The sequence below is a fragment of the Homo sapiens genome, chromosome 4, assembly GCF_000001405.40.
Source record: "Homo sapiens chromosome 4, GRCh38.p14 Primary Assembly".
Lineage (NCBI taxonomy): Eukaryota > Metazoa > Chordata > Mammalia > Primates > Hominidae > Homo > Homo sapiens.
In genome coordinates, this window is record NC_000004.12 from 6032804 (window position 1) to 6049008 (window position 16205).

At 51.7% G+C, this 16205-nt stretch overlaps 1 protein-coding gene across 1 annotated transcript in view; it reads right to left on the reverse strand.

Moving 5' to 3' along the window:
* Nucleotides 1-16205, reverse strand: part of JAKMIP1 (janus kinase and microtubule interacting protein 1) — a 174351-nt gene that overhangs the window by 6605 nt on the left and 151541 nt on the right. The window contains exons 16-19 of the mRNA NM_001099433.2: nucleotides 16054-16119; nucleotides 9356-9424; nucleotides 7836-7913; nucleotides 3101-3304 (exon numbers count right to left, since the gene is read on the reverse strand). Coding sequence (NP_001092903.1) covers nucleotides 3101-3304; nucleotides 7836-7913; nucleotides 9356-9424; nucleotides 16054-16119 — 417 coding nt within the window. The remainder of the gene's footprint in view (nucleotides 1-3100; nucleotides 3305-7835; nucleotides 7914-9355; nucleotides 9425-16053; nucleotides 16120-16205) is intronic.

The window sequence follows — 16205 nt, forward strand, 5'->3', positions numbered from 1 at the left end:
TAAGCAACCCAGACTTTGTACTCTGGGCACCAGGGAGCCAGTGAGGGTCTCAGCGGGAGGCGGGGGTGCTGTGGTGGTGCTCTGTGTTAGGAAGGCTTCGGCAGAGAAAGAGACAATGGAGAGGGCATTGCCATCGTGAATTGTCCCAGCAGATGTCTCTGCAGGCCAACTGTGGCTAGGAAGCGAAACCAGTGCTACTGAACCCTCAGAGAGGGTCAGGACAAAGTGAATTTACACCAGTGGCTTCACTCCAACCTTCACTCAGGCAGAACCTTTTACAAAAGTGCAGAATCATTCCGCTGGGAAAGGTGCCATTCACTAATGGATGTTTTCACATCCTCTTCTCCTCTTAGTTAACAGGGCTGGAAAATGCCAATTTCAGCTGGGGCTGGGCAGGGGACATCACTGCACCCTGTGGGCCAGATTCCAGGTGAAATACAATGGTAATGTCCACAGCAAACTGGGAGACTGGGAGGGTCTGTCCATGGTTGAAGCGGGTAGCTAGTGCTTGGGCCAGATCAGAAGTGGGGTGAGTGTTGCCAGAGCACCTGGTTGTGTTAGGTAGTGTCGCCCGTGTTGAATACATGAGTGTTAGGGATTATGATGAATATAAAGGTGAGAGAAGACATGATAATGATTAGGTTGGGTTAGAAAAGCCAAGTGCAGCAAATGTTAGCTAATATTCATTGAGTGCTTACTTTGTGAGCACTTTAGATAAATTCTCCATTGACCGCAACACTTCAAGTTGTGTGTGTTGATTGTACCCATTCTACAGACAAGAAAATTGAGGCTCACGGAGGTGAACTAACTTGCCTCAGGTCACACCATAACTAGGGGCAGGATTTGAATAAAAACCTGTCTGACCCGAGAGCCTATGGCTCCTAATGCTGCATCATAGCTTTCCATATATAAACTTTAAAACGTTAATTTTTATGTTCCTGGAGGGGAAAAAAATCACTGTAATGCAGGTTTGAATTCCTTCTCTTTGGGAAAAAAAAATGTAGGTTTTGCAATACTCTTTTGAAAATACCAGATTTCTGGAGACTATCAAATGATAGCAACTAGCAAAGAATCACAAAACATCAATAGTTAACCCTCAGGGGATCATGCAGTGTGGAGACCAGGGCTCTGGCAGTGGACTCAGGATGGGCCTGGCCTGGAAGGGTCACTTTGTGGCTAGCTGACCTTCATCCAGCTGTTTTGTCTCTGTGCCTTCATCTCTCCCTCTGTTTAAGCTGGTTTGAAGACTTAATCAGGTAGCCAAACACCTGTTTTCAAACAGGTGTTTTAGTGAGGCTCATTACAACCACTGTTCCAGGGTGGTGGTTTCTCTGTAAAATCCTATATACAGGGTACTACTTTTGAATCCATAGTGGTCTGCACTTATTGACAGCAGTTTACAAGTAATAATTATCTAAACCTTACCATGCCCCAGTGAGACAGGCATTGTCATCATCCCCATGAGGAAGACAGTGAGGCCCAGAGAGGTTAAATAATTTGTCCAAGGCCACACAACTAAATGGGGGATCCAGAGTTCAGAGCCCGGCCGTCTGGTCCCAGTGTCTGTGTTTTCAGCTTCTTTGCTGCCTAAGCTGAACCACACCATGCTGCTCTGCTGCCCAGAATGCCCTTTCCCTTTGATGGTGATGATGATTGATTTTATGTTAACTTGGCTAGGCCATGGTACCCAGATATTTGGTCAAATATTCTAGATGTTGATGGGCACGGTGGCTCACTCTTATAATCACAGCACTTTGGGAGGCCTAGGTGGGTGGATCACTTGAGGTCAGGAGTTTGAGACCAGCCTGGCCAACATGGAGAAACGCCGTCTCTACTAAGAATACAAAAATTAGCTGGGTGTGGTGGCGGGTGCCTATAATCTCAGCTACTCAGGTGGCTGAGGCAAGAGAATTGCTTGACCTGGGAGGCAGAGGTTGCAGGGAGCTGAGATCGTCCCACTACACTCCAGCCTGGGTGATAAAGTGAGACTCCATTTCAAAAAACAAACAAACAAACAAACTAGATGTTTCTGTGGAGGTCTTTCTTAGATGAGATAAACACCTAAATCAGTAGACTTTGAGTAAAGCAGATGAGCCTCCATAATGTGTGTGTGTGGTTCATTCAATCACCTGAAGGCCTTGAGAAAAAGACTGAGCTCCCCGAGGAGAGGAGCATGCTGCTAGCAGATGGCCTTCAGGCTTGAAATACAACAACTCTTCCCTGGGGCTCTAGCCTGCCCTCCAGATTGTGAACTTGCCGATCTTTATCTACAGTTGCGTGAGGCAGTTCCTTAAAGTAAGTCAACCTCTTTCTCTCTCTCTCTCTCTTTCTCTTTCTCTCTCTCTCTGCCCGCATCCCCCTTCTTTTTTCCTTCTGTGACATCCCTCCCCACTGGTAATCTAGATCCTTACTATCTGGGTGACCTTCAGACACATGAGTTAACCTCCCTGAGCCTCAGTTCTCTCGTCTGGAAAATGGACGTCATAGTGCCTACCCATAGGGTCCATGAGATAAAGGATCTGCAGCGCAGGGAGCCACTGCCCGACACATGGTGAGCGCCCGACAAATGCTCTGCATGATGCTGCTGCTTCTTTCCCTTCCTCGTCAATCAGGAGTCATGAAGCCCTCAGCTCCCCATGTGCTCAGTAGCACATGAAACTCACACGCAACATCGAACCTTGGAAGACATTGAGGTTTTCAGACCTACAACTGGTACAGCTTCTAGGCCCAATGCTCCAATGAGCCGCCATCACAAAAGGTAGCAAAAAAGCAAACCATTCAGCGGATGCCTCCCCGTAACCAGCATCTGACCTGGAAACAGCGTGCAGATGCTGGAGAAGGAGGGCCGAGGGAGAAGGCACTTTGGTTTGGATGAATGTTTCAGCGTTTGCTCTTTAGAATGCCCAAGTGCCCCACGTCTTGCCCCGTCACGGGGAGATATGATGGGCATCTATGAAATCTTGCTTCTTGGAAACTTGCTTTACCACCAACTCTCCCTGGAATGAGCCTGGGGCACTCAGAGGCCCATCAGGGTGCCAAGGTGCACACAGGACAACAAGGGTGCCGGGGTGCTGTGGGCACAGCCGCTGTTGCCGCCTACCTGCTGGGCCTGCTGCAGCAGCTCCATGCGCTCCCGCAGGATCTGGCTGTCGAACTCGCGGCTCTGCCTGAGGATCTGCCTGCGCACCTTTTCCACAGCAGCCTGCAGGTCCTCCCGCTGGCCCTCGCTCAGCGCCTCACCGGCCCTCCGCCCCGGCTCCTGCTGCAGCGCTGTGTACAGTGTGGCCTCCAGGTCTTGGATTTTCTGAGGACCCCAGATCACACAGACAGAGGAAGGTCACAAGGAGGTGGACAGGAACCACCAGAAGGCTGCTGCCAGTGGAGGCAGAGCCAGGGAGGGGGGTTTCGGGCAGGGAGGGGCAACTGGCAGGGGCCAAGCACAGGGCCAGCAGTGCCCGGGGGAGCAGGCTGTGAGGGAGCAACTCGGCCCCGCACACTTGTCATTTTTTACTCTATTCAACCCAGATGCCCCTACTATGCACAAGAGGGGACAAAGGCAAGAAGAAAAAGTAATCATAGCATTCCCTTAAGATGCATGACTCAAACAGAGGTGCAATTCACCTGGGTTTTATTCCATCCTTGGTTTCCAATTGGCTCTCCTCACCCTGGAAACAAATCTCCCCTTTTCTAATGGGTGCCAATGGGGAAATATGTCTGGATTTGCACACATTTGGTTTTCAGCTGCCTTAAGAATGCAACTCTAGCCCAAAGCAAATAGTGGCAATGTTTTAATTGCCCCTAACCCCCAACAAAAGCAAGCCACCCTTTTTGGCAAAGCTGAATGAGGCATTAGTGACCAACTGGGGATCCTTGTGAAAGCTGAGTTGTCATCATTACAGGATGTTACTCGTTTTCACAGCAAGACACTTAAATGTAGCTATCTTATGGCAATGTCTAAGGACAAAAGACAATTACCTCCTTTTCTGCCTTCCTAAATCTCCACCCACATTCCTTACTAAGGAGCAGCTACTTCTCTCCCAAAGAAACTACAGGTGGTATAGAGAAACCATGAGTTTCAATAGAAACATGGTACTGAGGCAGAGGTTAACCATTAGCCCTCCATCACCGAGGTAGAGGCTAACCGGTATCCCTCCATCACCGAGGCAGAGGCTAACCAGTATCCCTCCATCACTGAGGCAGAGGTTAACCCAGTAGCCCTCCATCACTGAGGCAGAGGCTAACCGGTATCCCTCCATCACTGAGTCAGAGGTTAACCCAGTAGCCCTCCATCACTGAGGCAGAGGCTAACCGGTATCCCTCCATCACTGAGTCAGAGGTTAACCCAGTAGCCCTCCATCACCGAGGCAGAGGCTAACCAGTAGCCCTCCATCACCGAGGCAGAGGTTAACCCAGTAGCCCTCCATCACTGAGGCAGAGGCTAACCGGTATCCCTCCATCACTGAGTCAGAGGTTAACCCAGTAGCCCTCCAACACCAAGGCAGAGGCTAACCAGTATCCCTCCATCACCGAGGCAGAGGTTAACCCAGTAGCCCTCCATCACCGAGGCAGAGGCTAACCAGTATCCCTCCATCACCGAGGCAGAGGTTAACCCAGTAGCCCTCCATCACTGAGGCAGAGGTTAACCCAGTAGCCCTCCATCACTGAGGCAGAGGCTAACCGGTATCCCTCCATCACTGAGTCAGAGGTTAACCCAGTAGCCCTCCAACACCGAGGCAGAGGCTAACCGGTATCCCTCCATCACCGAGGCAGAGGATAACCCAGTAGCCCTCCATCACCGAGGCAGAGGCTAACCGGTATCCCTCCATCACCGAGGCAGAGGTTAACCCAGTAGCCCTCCATCACCGAGGCAGAGGCTAACCGGTAGCCCTCCATCACTGAGTCAGAGGTTAACCCAGTAGCCCTCCATCACCGAGGCAGAGGCTAACTGGTAGCCCTCCATCACTGAGTCAGAGGTTAACCCAGTAGCCCTCCATCACCGAGGCAGAGGCTAACCGGTAGCCCTCCATCACCGAGGCAGAGGCTAACCAGTATCCCTCCATCACTGAGGCAGAGGTTAACCCAGTAGCCCTCCATCACTGAGGCAGAGGCTAACCGGTATCCCTCCATCACTGAGTCAGAGGTTAACCCAGTAGCCCTCCATCACCGAGGCAGAGGCTAACCAGTAGCCCTCCATCACTGAGGCAGAGGTTAACCCAGTAGCCCTCCAACACCAAGGCAGAGGCTAACCAGTATCCCTCCATCACCGAGGCAGAGGTTAACCCAGTAGCCCTCCATCACTGAGGCAGAGGTTAACCCAGTAGCCCTCCATCACTGAGGCAGAGGCTAACCGGTATCCCTCCATCACTGAGTCAGAGGTTAACCCAGTAGCCCTCCATCACCGAGGCAGAGGCTAACCAGTAGCCCTCCATCACCGAGGCAGAGGTTAACCCAGTAGCCCTCCAACACCGAGGCAGAGGCTAACCGGTATCCCTCCATCACCGAGGCAGAGGTTAACCCAGTAGCCCTCCATCACTGAGGCAGAGGTTAACCCAGTAGCCCTCCGTCACTGAGGCAGAGGCTAACCCAATAGCCCTCTGTCACCGAGGTAAAGGCTAACCCAGTAGCCCTCCATCACCGAGGCAGAGGCTAACCGGTATCCCTCCATCACTGAGGCAGAGGTTAACCCAGTAGCCCTCCATCACTGAGGCAGAGGCTAACCGGTATCCCTCCATCACCGAGGAAGAGGCTAACCCAGTAGCCCTCCGTCACCATCAGGCCACTTGCTCTTCAAGTCTCCTCTGGCTTCTCCCTGCTGGGATCCAGGCCCATCAGGCCAGACTGATTTTAACCAACAAACATGATCACCTTCAGCTCTACCCACCCCAACAGTTGCCCTTGGGGAACTAGAAGGCTGGAATCTGTTCCCTGGCAGAGCTGCGGGGCCCCCAGGTGGGCTCCACATGGAGCAGAGCTTGCTGGTGCCTGCAGGCTCACCCCTTCTCTACTCAGCAGCCGAGCTCCCAGGAGACCCCTGCGTGGCCAGTTTCCAGATAGAAACGCACCACTCGATTCTGGAAATCCCGTTGTGGGCCTGCCCCGCCTCACTCAGCTCAGTGACAAAGGGACACAGGCTTGCATCTGGCATCTGCTGTCCTGGCCCCAGCATGGACACATGGCCCTGTCACCCTCTCAGAGCATTTCACTTCCTGACTGTTCATGAGAATCCAGGGGCTGCGTCAGAACTCCTGTCTACCCATGCAACTGAAATCCCACTGGGAGCACAGTGCCCATGGCAGGCTTTCAAACACTCCAAGTGTGAAGGTAGCTTCTGTATGGTGGCAGAACCAGCATGCAGGGGCCTCTTCTGCAGATTCAGCATTCTTAGGGGCCCCTCAGGCCTTCCTGAGTTGGTGCTTAGACAAAGGAAGGGTGGACCCCAAGGTGTTCCGAAGTGTGTTTTGGGAAATGCCAGTTCTGCAAGATGTCCCTTGAAAAAAGGTCCAGTGATTCACTGAACTTGGCACACCACTTGCTTACATTCCTCTCGGAGCCTCAACTCACCCTTTAGCACGCTAAGACCCCAAGAAGTCCTTCAGAGTTTTCCAACTTTATTGCGCTACGCTTTGCGGGACCCTAAGTTCCATCTAAAATCACATTCCTTGGAGTTTTTTTGGAAAACACTAGGGAAGAACAGGGATGCATGACGGGGATGGCCCAGCCTGCAGGGTGTTTTCAAAAGCACCAAGCCTGGACCAAAACACGAATGGAGAATGTCTCCATTCGTTAGTTGCCCTCAACACTACTGAAATGTCGTGTAACCAGAAACGATAGCCCAGAGGGAAATGCTGTGTCTTGATAAGGTTTAGTTCATTCTGATCTTCTACATCTCCTGCTCCTAGTCTCAAGGGATTCAAGCCTCACAGCCTCGACAGGAAGGGACAAGGGTCATAGCTAGTTGCACCGGCCTTCATGTCTAAATCTCCTGTCCATTTGAGCTAAGCCCATGCTACCTGCTCTCTGTCTTCCTGGAGCCTGTCATGGGAAGTAGAGTTTTAAAGTCATTTTTTTTTTAGTGATTGGCTCTGCATTTTGTAGGTGCAAACCCATTTTTGTAAAATTATTTTAACTACAAATGATCTGGGCAGAGATTTGCTCAAGACTCTGTACCACGCTAGCTTCTTCCTACAAGGAATGACATTGAACTCTAAATTCTCTCTCCTGCAGCGACAAGTTTCTATGATCTTACTCAACTCCCCTCCACCCCGAAGGAGAATTTCTCTCGTGCCAGGAGCACTTAGCTTTGAGTGTGAGGACACAGGAGTTTGAACATCATCCCACTGTATTTTAATCACCAGGACGCCCAGAATCAATTTTGCAACCCAAATGCAGTATTACATCCGACCTTATACCTCGTCCCTTCGGTTCTGAAAATCACCTGGCTTCATCTAATTGCTTTACCTCTGCGTTCCTTTGTGATCATCTCTTTTTCCTATTTATAGGAAAACTTGCTTTGGGACTTTAAGTCTAAATATTTAAGTAAAATCAAACATAAAAGAAATATAGTTTCTTCTCATTCATCTCAAATGATTACTAGAATTTAAGAAGCATGTCTAAGAAAACCATTAAAGTAACTTTGAATATTTTTGAAAATCACGATTGATTTGGAAAAAGGGACAGTCTGTACGGTCATTCCAGTCACAAGGTGGAGATGGCATTTTTATCACTCCTGTTTGGCACTGGGGAGCGCCCTAAATGCAGTTTCAGCCCCAGAGGAAAAAGCAGCCTCTAATGTGGAGTCTAAGAAGCCAAAGTGTCAAACCCACTTCTGGTCCTACCAGGTAAGCCTGGTCAAGGGCTTGCTTCCGGTAGTCGAGCTCCTCTTCCAGGTAGCCCTTCTGCCTGCTGAACAGGTCCTGAGAAAGAGGGAGGCGCCATCAGGGACCAGCGTCAGAACAGGAATCCATGACAGCTTCAGAGCCCGTTTGCTAGAGAGTGGCAGTCTCACCGAATTGGGGGCACTCAGATGAGAAGGGACTTGGTGGTCTTCCCCGTTTGCCCCCACATGAATCACCCAGCAGGAGCCTCACTGACCTGGGGCACCCTTGACAGCCACACCTGGATCCTTGGTGAAGACTATCCCATTCCTCCTGCTTCCCTGCCTCTTGGGTACCTGACTGTAAAGAAGGGACCCACCTCAAACCAAGGCGCAAGTCACAGGAGTCCTTCTAGGTTCCTCCTGCTACATCCTAGTGGCCCCTGAAGACTGTCTTCATGGTTCCCAGATGTGGCTCTTCCTTCCTGCCTGAATTGCATCACCCACCTCCCGATTGGTCTCACTGAGCACACTTCTCCCTGCCTCCCACATACCTGGGTCACTGTCTAAGACCCTGCAAGCATGATCTCTCCGGAGTGCAAATCTCTTTTTATGACTGATTTGAGGGTTTCAGGGTTAGAATTCATCTCCTGTAGCCACTTCCTTTTATAGACAAGGAAGGAAAGAGCCAGGGAGGACCAGAGCCTTGCCTTAGATGCCACAGTTCAGTGATGGCAGAGGTGGGAGTAGAAACCCAGGCCTTCTGGCATCAGTCAGGGCTCTTGCCACACCACACCCTGCTCCTAGGCCACACTAGTCCTTCCACCTTCCTCCTTCTCCTCCCATTTCCATTTCTCCTTGGAGAACTCGAATTGGCCTTTGACTACTCAAGAACCACGTCTTCTGGGAAGCCTTCTCTGTCCTCCCCAGGCTCCCCATACATCCATAGTCCCAGTGAATAACCACCACCACCATTTGTCAGGTACCCAAGGTGCCAAGCACAGTGCAACCCTGGTTATGTATGTAGCATTTCTCATCCCACAACCCAGCAAAGCACAGACTGGAATTTCCCATTCATCAATGAGAAAACTAAAGTCCAGTTTCCCAAGTTTTCATGGCCAGCAAAGATTTGAGCCATGCCCATGTGTTCCTAGAGTCACTGCGCCAGCATTTCCATATCTGGGCTGTGTCTCTCCTAACATCCTCATGCTGCATTCACGTGAGCTCATGAACGCATGACCCTGCAGGTCTGTGAGCTTGCTCCTGGTGGCAGGGACCCCACTTATTCATTACTAAGCCTCTAATCCTGCCATAGCACCTGGGACACAGCAGAGGCTCTGAAAATATGTATTCGATGAGTAATTGAGCGAGTGAAAGAGTAAGTAAATGGGTGACAATTACTTAGAACAACCACTGGGGCAAAAGCAAAATTGAGAAATGCATGCAAATCATTAGGAAAACACATGCAAAGCCTTCCTGCAAATCAACCTCTCTGAGCTCTTTGAACCCTCTCCCCCACCCCCAGGCAGTCAAATCTTTTACCTTCTCCTTCTCCAGGTCCAGCATCTTCTGGGTCAGGGCGGCCTCGGTCCCCTCTATTTGCTTCAGCCACTAGAAAACAGCAGGGACAGGACGGGTGCAGCAAAGTGAGAGTCAGAACCCAAGGGGCTGTGGAATTTCACAGGTGTGTGAATTTCATAGATCGGCTTCCTCAGAGTGTGCTCAGGAATGGGTCAGGTCATGGCACACACATGCCTGATCTGTGGATGGCGTGGTTGTGTGTGCATGGTCCAGCCTGCATGTGCAGGAGGTCTTAGGTGTGAGTGTGACATGTACGTGGTGTGGAAGCTGGATTCAGAGCCTGGATGGACCCGAGTGTGGGCGGCTGCGAGTGTGTGCAGCAGAGGAAGTGGTGTGGTATAGCTGATGTCAATGAGTGCCTGCTCTGTGCTGATGCTTCACACAGGAGACCTCATCTGACTCTCTTACGACCACCCCAAGCAGTAGGCAGCGTCACCCCTATTTTGCAGGTAAAGACATGGAGGCTGAGTTAAGTAACTTGTCCAAGGTCACACGGGTGCAGAATGGAGATTTGGAACCCAGCCTGCAGGATGCCAAAGCCACTGCCCTCATCCCTCCAGCAACGTGAGTTGGAGCAGCCCAGAGTGCCTGGTGCCACCATGAGAGGAGGTGGAATCACACACAGGGTAGGGGGTGTAGGAGCATGAAAGCAGGGTTCATGCCAGGACATGAGGGCGCAGGCACGGAGAGTACGGGGTGAACAGGCGGGGCGTGCACCTGAGCGGCAGGTAAGGGAGTGGGAGCTCTGTCCACGTTCCCTCTGGGGTCTGGGCTGGGGGTGAGCACGGAGGCAGGTGTCATACGTGGATGTGCCTCTACGAGGAGCCCCTAAAACGGGAGGAAGTCCAGGCCAGCACAGGGTGGCTGCCCTGTGGGGGAGGGCTGTGGGGAGATCAGGGCACCTAGGGGTGTCCGGGTTTGACAACACCATTGACCTCCTCATTGCTAAGGCTGTCGGATGGCCTCCCACTGCCAGGCCCCAGCTGCGGAGCGCCCTCTTTCCCGACCCCAGGCCCCGCTGTAGAGTGCTTTTCCTGCCACCAGATCCCGGCTGTGGAGCACCCCCTTTCCTGACTCCAGGCCTTGGCTGCAGAAAGCCCCCTTTCCCGACCCCAGGCTCCCCCAGCTTCCTTGTACTCCTTGCTTTCCCTCTCCTCTGGCGGCAGCTGGTCACCCTCGCCAGGTCACCCCGCACTCGTGAGGTCCTGGAGCCCTGCCCTCGGCCTTCTCCACCTTACTCTGCCCTCCCCCGGGATCCACCCTCCCTACCCTCTCTGAAATGTCTCATACCCAGATCTGCCCCACCACGCCCTGTGTGCCGCTGCCTCCTGCACCCCTCCACTCCCAAGCCTCAAGGCATCTCCAGGGCCTGCCAGGACCCCTGATGGGGAAGAGTGCCCCCTCCTTCCTTCCGTCCACTTCCAACATATTGGCTTTGCCTCCTTCTGGTTCTCAAACCCACCCGCAGCACTCCCTCCCCATCACCAACCCCCCATTCCCCTTTCAGCCCCCAGGTTCATATCTGAATCCTCCCCACACACCCCAAATTCCTTTCTGCCCCCCCAGCCAGCAAGTTCCCTAAAAAACACACATGGGCTCATGGAACATCCCTGTTCTGCTCAGAGACCTCCAAAGACATCCCAGCACCCCCGACAACACTGGCAAGGCCCCAGTGTGGGGTGGCCCCTGTGATGCTCACAGCCTCATCAGTCAGCACTCTCCTGTCCCCACTGAAATCCCAGGCCCTGGTCATCCTAACTACACAGAGCTCCTCGAACATGCCCAGCCTTTCCATGTGCTGTCCCTACCTCTCCTGGCCCCAGCCTCAGCCCCAGGCCTTTAACAAGCTAGCATCACTCAGTCTTCAGGCCCTGAGCTAGCTGTCACCTCCTCCAGGAAGCCTACCCTGCTTGAGTCCGTGGGGTCAGCTAACCTCCATGGTGCCCATGTCAGTCATCTTGTGAATGCCGGGTCGTAGCACTCACCTGACAGCGCTGTTGTCTGTTTCACCCCTCACCCCGCTGCCCCCCTTGAAGGTGGGGACCACATTTGCCTCCTGTTGGACTTCCTTGCCTGGCACAGGGCTTGACACAAGCAGGTGCCTAATAAACTTCTGTCGAATGAAGGAGAATCAAGGCTGTGCAGGTTGGTGGGGTGTGTGCTGCCTGAACAGAGGGGACTAGAACTGATCGGCTCCTGCCACAGAACTCCTTCCCTAACGCCACAGTGAGCTCGGCCCCCAGTACGGGCTCTGTGCCAGCCACGGTGGCAGCACCCAGCACCCTGTGCCAGCCGCGGTGGCCAGCACTTCCTCAAACAAGGCTCAGACAAGATGCGTGGTTTCTTAGAAACAGATAAGCATATTTTGGATGGGGAGTTACAGGTATTTCAGTTTTAATATCCTCATGCAAGCAGTCATAAAATGAATAAAATTAAAATGGGAAATCCAGGTTTGGATGATTACAACATGCTGCTCTCAGAACGGTTTCTGCAGAACACAGTGTTGAGATTTGTTGCTGCTGTCGTTTAAAAAATTGCATATAAAAAATAAATTCAACAAGACCTTTTAGCAACGGGGAGAGAACATGAAAGCAGAGAGAGCTGGCCATGAGGACCCCCGACCACGTGAGATCAGAAATTTAATATCAAAGAGTTTGGCCAGATAGCTGTGGAGGCTCAGTCACTCCTGGGAGAAACAGCGTTCATGGTTCTGCTCCAACCCCAGGAGAGGGGGTCTCAGGCTGGGGAGGAGAAGTGAGTCCACTCACAGGGAGGTGCTGATGAACTGAGCAGCCTCATGGGGGCAGCATGCTGCAGGGTGGGGGCTGCTCTCCGCGCCCCGCCTCCCAGGGCCCCTCAGGTGCAGAGCCTGGATCCCCTGCAACTGGTGGGGCTCATCTCTCCTCCCTCCCTTTGGGGATGGTCCCAAGGCTTCGACTCACGGCCAACTATTAGAAAGTCAGACTATGGCTCAGACCTATGCCTCATTCTCCTATCCATCGTTACTAGTGAGAACATGGCCTTTAAGACATTCCCACCTGGCTGAGGCCGGTGTCTTTTTCTCGATCCACTTTGAACTTGAGGGAGAAGAGATATGACTGCTATGATTTATAAACCCTCCAATGTCTCATGGTTCAGGTTCTCTGTGGGGCACGTGCCATGTGCCGAGGTGAGTGAGACCTTGCCTGATCCTATACGTGGCTAACCAGAGTGGGGCTGATGGGTGCCAGGACGGATGCCTGTGTCCTGATGACTGGGCAGGGCCTCAGTGGGCGGAGATGAGGAAAGCATGTGCCCAGGGCAAGATGCTGTTTGTAGCGAAATCAACACAGGCACATCATAGGACATTCCTTCAGGTTGCACTTCACCTACACACTAAGAAACTGGCTTCGAGGCTGGGTGAGGTGTCTCATACCTGTAATCCCAGCACTTTGGGAGGCCAAGGCGGGTAGATCACTTGAGGTCAGGAGTTTGAGACCAGCCTAACCAACATGGAGAAACCCGTCTCTACTAAAAATACAAAAATTAGCCGGACGTGGCGGCATATGCCTATAATCCCAGCTGCAGGAGGCTGAAGCACGAGAATCACTTGAACCTGGGAGGTGGAGGTTGCAGTAAGCTGAGATCGTGCCACTGCACTCCAGCCTGGGTGACAGAGTGAGACTCTGTCTCAAAAAAAAAAATTAATGCCTCTAAGGGAACATTGACATTGACTTCCACTTATTCGGATACCCGTATGGAATGACAATTTTTAAAATAAAGAGTATTTAGTGGAGCAGGGGTTAACTGGGGCCTGTCAGCAAGCCTTCCCTGGCAGTGACATTGCAGGTGCTCACCCCCTTTGCAAACTTCCCTGCAGTGCCTGTCGGCTCTAGGGTGACCAGCTTGTCCCTGTTGGCCCACGACTGTCCCTGTTTTAGCACTGCAATTCTCACGTCCCAGGAAAGCTGTCAGTCCCAGGCAAAGCAGACTGTCAGTCCCCTAGTGGTCCTGCCAGGTTCTCAGGGGGTCCTGCTGATGCAGTTCCCACCCCACATGAAGGTCCACTTCTGGACCTGAGGAGCTCTTACACCAACATCCTCTCCAAGCTGGGAGGAGACGAGCGGCAACACCCAAGCTTACTGGACCTTTATCCACAGACAAATGGCAGGGCCAGTGTCTCCTAGAACCCAACCTGAGAAAACTCTGGTTTAAGTCTATTCCTCAAAGACGCGGAGCTGGGCACCTCTGTGCCAGGCTCAGAATCGGGGCCCCATAACCGTCAGTAGGGGTTGTGAGGGCCTGGCAGGCTAGGGCGACTGGCACAGCTCTCTAGCACGTAGGGCACAAGGCACAGCACCAGGCTGACCAGCTTGGGGAGGTTGGTGGTCAGGGGCAGGCGGGCGGCAGTGGGGGTGGGCAGGGTGCAAGCGGGGAGGTGGGCAGCTGCCAGGCGAGCAGAGCATGGTGAGGGTCAAGGCAGACAGTGGCCGGATCCCAGACAGGTTCCACCTCCTCAGCTGTCCTAGAGGGCTGCTAATCTCACAGATGCCCAGAGGATGAGGAGCGCTGGGGACCTAAGGTGCAGGCCTGGAACACCTGCTGTGGGTCGGGCGTGGGGAGGGGTACATCAGGAACGGCTCAGGTGGGAGAACTCAGCGCCCTGCAGAGGGCTGCTATCACTGAGGCTGAAAGCCTCCTGCCAGCTGGCGCCCTGGCCCTCCAACACCCCCTGCCCCAGCCCCAGGACGAACCAGCCACCCTGAGTCACCAGCAGGTTCCTGCTCCTTGCTCACCCGGTCCACAGGCATTGACCAAGCATCTCCAGGAAGCAAGCATGGCCCCAGGTGCTTGATTGAACCTGATGGCAATGCCTGATCCCACTGAAATATGCAGCCTCCTGGATTCCGACAGACACTGTGAGCCACCAGGATGCTCAGTGTCATGGCTGAGAGAGATGTGGTGAGAAACCGGCTGAAACCCCTGCAGCTGGCACGTGGTGTAGCCAAGACGCAAGCCAGGAGAGGCCTCCCCGACATCAAAGCGGACACTGGTGGATGTGACATCTCCACGTCTCCCAGGGCCGTGCTCAGCACTTGACACTAAGATGCTCTTTCTCAGTAAATATTCCAGTAGATGTTGAATAAGCTGAGTCATAAGTGTTTAATCAGCACTTTGTGTGACTACACGGAGCACTGTTGGAGGAGCCTAGGCAGCCACGGAGGGTTTTGCTGCTGGAAAGGAAGGTGCTGAATATGCCCCATGTGCCCCGCCCCGTGCCTGCACCTGCACCTGATAGCCACCAGCCGGCCAGGTGTGAGTCATCCCCGTCCCGCGGTTCACCAGAAGACACAAGCTCAGCCAGGTTTAGTGATGATAGGAACAGGAGAAAGCTGAGTTCCAATCCTCTCACTGCCTACCAGTGTGACCTTGGGCAAGGTTTGGCCATAAGTCTTGTTACCAACATTTAGTATCCTTTACTTGATTGAGGGATTGAACAGATGCCCTGGGAAGGAAACTATTTCTATTTTAAATGCCCTTCCAGCAATTCTGGAAAGAATCCCAACTAAGATCATTAAGACCTCATCACTGCAAAAATAGCATTTTAAAGTTGAACCCATATGCTTTGAAAGGAAAAGGTCTTTAGCCACAAACAGTTGTATATTTCTAACACACCATAAACCAGTGTAAAAGGCAAACAAATCAGGAATGTGTTTTGTAACAAACAGGTCAAAAAGTTAGTATTTTTAATATGTAAAGCACTCAGAGAAGTCAGTAAGAAAGACAATGACAATGAATACATATTTGTCAAATGAATGAATGGATGGATGGGTGAACAAATCCAATGGAAAACCCTCAAAATAAATGCAATTACAATTCACAAGGAAGGAGAAGAAAATAGATAATACACATAAAAAACTCAGTATCACTAGCACTGAAATAAAAATTAAAACAATGACGTGATACGGTTTTCACCATCAAATGGGCAAAGTTCTTTTCAGCGGTAACATGCCATGTCAAGCATAAATCAACAACGTGTAAGGCTGCAGGTAGGAGGGTATCTGGTGCCGCTTTTCTGGACACTGTTTTGACAATGCCGTAGTCCTTCAAGACATTCTTACTATTTGGCCCAGTCATTCTGCTTCTAAAATATATCTTATGGGCATATTTTAAGACGTAGATAGAAATTTATGTGTAAAAAATGTGCAGTTTACCACTGCATGATGGTAGAAAGAAATATATAACAGCTAAGAGGGGCTGAAGTAACTAACAGTATAACTGTGTGATGGAGAGATGCACAGCCATTTAAACACGTTTATGAACCATGTTAAATGGTATGGAGGATGTTTCTAAAGCCTGATGGAAAACTGGATGTCAAGTATCATTTCAACTAAGTTTAAAAACAATGGACGCAGGGAAACCACTGGAAGGAAATACACAAAAGTGACAGACTGTTTCCTCCACCGGGTTTTGATTTCCTCCTGCGTCTCTGGGTTTTCTACAGTGAGCATGTGGGACTTCCGTCATGAAGAGAACGGAAAGGCATGCATGTGCACGTGCAGACGCAGACGGACTGGAACGCATGCTCCCACGCAAAGCAAGACGCCAATGTACAGTTTCTTGTATGGTGCTGGGAAGCTGGGACAAGGTGTGAGCACAGAAATGCCGCTGGCTTCTACCTTTTCACACAGGGCAAGCACAGTTCCAGCTTGGATTATTGCAACCTGTTCTTCATTTCTCAAATTCTAAAACACAAAAATGGGCAAGGGCATTTGACACTGGATCCCAAATCCACGTGCAGACAGTCAGCACCAAGCAAGTTTTTTTTTTT